The 3,773-nt window shown below is 37.9% G+C and overlaps 1 pseudogene; it reads right to left on the bottom strand.

The window, feature by feature from the left end:
- Window positions 2,663–2,955, bottom strand: RN7SL218P (RNA, 7SL, cytoplasmic 218, pseudogene; annotated as a pseudogene).

The raw sequence follows: 3,773 nt of genomic DNA, 5'->3' as shown, positions 1-3,773 counted from the left end.
ATGCATAATTTTTGAAAGAGAGTAAGGCCTAGAACGTTTTGTGGGAACTGTCCAAGGTGGCAAAGGAGGACAATACCTTGGAATTAATCTGTAAGACAGCACCTATTGTCACCAATTTTAAAAACAAACCAAAAAGAGGAACTTTTATCTAAAAAACTCTAGCCTTTTCTTAGCATTCCAGGAAGACTTCTCTGAAGGTTGGCCTGTAGCTGTGGAACTGGTGATTGGATAGGTCTCAATGTTCATGATAAAATCCTTGATGTATCAAAAACTAAGCTGTCATTGAAGGACTACACCCTTCTGGGAGGAGGATAAATCATCCTGGAGAAGTGGAGCAGAAAGGTTGAAAGAAAAGGAGATTGATGAAAATCTGTTGACAAGATCTTACTAGGTCATTCACTGCTGTGTAAAGCTTTTTATTTGGTCTTGGTTAGCTCTTTCTTTTGTTCCCTCCAGCAATAACTTGAACCTTTCCTAGTCTGATCTCTTCAGGTATTGCCTCTTCCCATCCCTCTCCCTCTCCTTCTCTATCTCCTTTTTCCTCTCTCTTTCTCACTCTCTGGTAGAAACTTTCTCAATTCATGTTTTGCTGTCTTCAGACTCTTCATTTGCACCTGGCTTTCTCTATTTTCATTTTATTCATTCAAATACTCAATTTCTATTTACTGAAAACCTTCATTGTGCTAACTGATCAAGATACATGACGAACAGGGCAGTACAAGAACTTCTCCTGGAAGTCTCCTCATATTTTAGTGAGAGAGGTAAAAATAAAACAAGCAAAGATATAATGTATCTTTCTCCCCTGCCACTTTGGTGGAGACTGTGGTAGATTCTAAGAAAGAGGCAGAGTAACTTCATGACTTGATCAAAACGGAACTTGGCTGGGAATGCTTACCTTAGAACAATGGTCACTGAGAAGGTGACATTGTAAGCTGACACTGGAAGGATAAAAACGACACAAGCCTGAAAGAGCCTAGAGAGGTGGGTTCCAGGCAGAACGCACAGGAGGGTAAAAGTCAGAAGCAGGAAAGAGTGTGCTGTGTTTTCATAACTAAGAGTAGCTGCTGATGGCTGGATCTTAGAAAAGGGGAACATGGCATGAGTGAGGTCAGAGAGGTTGGTAGGGACCAGGTCATACAGAAATTTCTGGGCCAACATGAAGCATTTATGTCTTATTTATTTTCAATAGAAAGCCATTTTAATCATTCCCCAAACTCACACCTATTAGCAGTCACTCCCTATTCTCCCCTTGCCAAGGTCCTGGAAACAACTAATTTTTCAGTCCCATTGCTTGCCTATTCTGAACACTTCACATAAAGGAAATCATTCAAGACATAATTTTTTTTACTTAGCATAATGTCTAGTTTCTTTTACTTAGCATAATTTTTTCCCTATGCATAATAAAATTAGTATAGGTTCATCCATATTGTAGCACAAATCAGTACTTTTTATGCTAGATAATATTCCATTACATGAATATAACCCAGCTTGTTTACCCATTCATCAGTTGATGAACATTTAGGCTGTTTCTACTTTGGGGTTATTACAAATAATGCTACTAAGAGCATTTGTAAACAAGTTTTTGTGTGGACATATATTTGCAATTCTCTTGGTTATATATCAAAGAGTGAGATTGTGGGATCATATAGAAACTCTATCTTTAACATTTTAAAGGACTGTTAACTGTTTTCCAAAACTGTTGCATTATTTATATTTTCACCGGCAATGTATGAGGGTTCCAATTTCTCCACATCCTTGAAACACTTCATATCATCTGGCCTTTTGATTATAGCCATCCTTGTAGGTATATATTTCATTGTAATTTTGATTTGTATTTGCCTAAGCACAATGAATAATACATTAGTTAATATTGATGTAACAAATTTATAATCCAGGAAGGGAATTTAAAACTAGTATGGGCCCAAGTTTGATTGACTGGTTGATTCATTGATAGACCCAAAAGAGCAGAAGACAGCAAATGCGGATGTTAGATTGCCCATTGAATACAAAAGGAAAATAATCACATCTTGTAAAATGTGTTGTCAACACCGGAATCAAAGTTGACGGATGATTAGAATCAGCTATTGTAATTTGGGGGCAGACTTATGTAACAGGAATGTAACAGGATAATATTTTGAAATACTAACTAATGTGTTTTCCTCCTCGGCATCCACAGCAGCAGAGTCAGCATATTCTACTCAACTCGTCACTCCTACAGTGCCACATGGTGCCTAACCTAAAACCTATTAATCATCTCTATTGACTTAAATGAGCACTATGTGTCACCTTTGCTGAGAAATTATATGCTTTCTTCTTATTGCCACCAATAATGCTGAGCAGCATTCAGCATTTTACCCATTGAGTATTGAGAAGTAATTGTGACTGCATATTCATCTAAATTTTGTCAGCTTCCTTCCAAAGTATAACCTGTGGGCAACATCTTTTTCAAAGCCCCATGTATATGCAGGCATACCACAAAGACATTGCAGGTTCAGTTCCAGACAACTGCAGTAAAATGATTATTGCAATAAAGGCTGTCATCCAAATGTTTGGGTTTCTGAGTGCATATAAATGTTATATTTACACTATGCTGTAGTCTCATAAGTGTGTAGTAGCATTCTATGGAAAACAATGTACATACCTTTATTTATTTTTTTAAGAAAGACCAGGTCTCACTATGTTTTCCAAGATGGAGTGCAGTGGCTATTCACAGGCATGATCTCACTACTAATCAGCATGGGAGTTTCAACCTGCTCTGTTTCTGACCTGGGTCAGTTCACCCCTCCTTAGGCAACCTGGTGGTCCCCCACTCCCAGGAGGTGACCATATTGATGCCAAACTTAGTGTGGATGCCCAACTGGCATAGTGCACTACAGCCCAGAACTCCTGGACTCAAGTGATCTTCCTTCCTCAGCCTACTGAGTAGCTGGGACTATAGGAACGTGCTACCATGCCAAACACATATCTTAATTTAAAAATACTTTATTGCTAAAAAAAAAAAATGTAAAGGATCATCTGAGATTCCAGAATCACAATCTTTTTGCTGGTAGGGAGTCTTACCTGGATGTTGATGGTTGCTGATTGAGCAGGGAGGTGGTTAAGGTGGCTGTGGCAGTTTCTTGAAATAAGATGATGAAGTGCCACATTTATTGACTTCTTTACATAAAAATTTTTTCTTTAGCATGTCATACTGTTTGATAGCATTTTACTTACGGTGGAGCTTCTTTCAAAATTGGAGTCAACCCTCTCAAACCCTGCCACTGCTTTATCAACTCAGTTATGTAATATTCTAAATCATTTGTTGTCATTTTATCAACTTTCACAGCATCTCCACTAGGGGTAGATTCCACTCAAGAAACCACTTTCTTTACTCGCCTGTGAGAAGCAACTCCTAATTCATTCAACTTTTATCATGAGATTTCAGGATTAAGTCACATATTCAGGTTCCACTTCTAATTCTAGTTCTCTTGCTGTTTCTACCACATCTGCAGTTACTTCCTCTGGTGAAATCTTGAACCTTTCAAAGTCATCCATGAGGGATGGAATCAACTTCCTTCATACTATTCCTGTTAATGTTGATTTTGACCTCTTCCCATGAATCACAAATGCTCTGTGGCATCTAGATTGTGAATCTTCTCCAGAAGGATTTTAACTTACTTTATTCACATCTATCAGAGGATCACCATGGCAGCTATAGCCTTGCAATATGTATTTTTTATGTAAGACTTGAAAGTTGAAATTACTACTTAAACCATGGACTTCAGAATGAATAT

The sequence above is a fragment of the Homo sapiens genome, chromosome 4 (assembly GCF_000001405.40).
Source record: "Homo sapiens chromosome 4, GRCh38.p14 Primary Assembly".
Lineage (NCBI taxonomy): Eukaryota > Metazoa > Chordata > Mammalia > Primates > Hominidae > Homo > Homo sapiens.
This window is presented reverse-complemented; position numbering and strand designations above follow the sequence as displayed.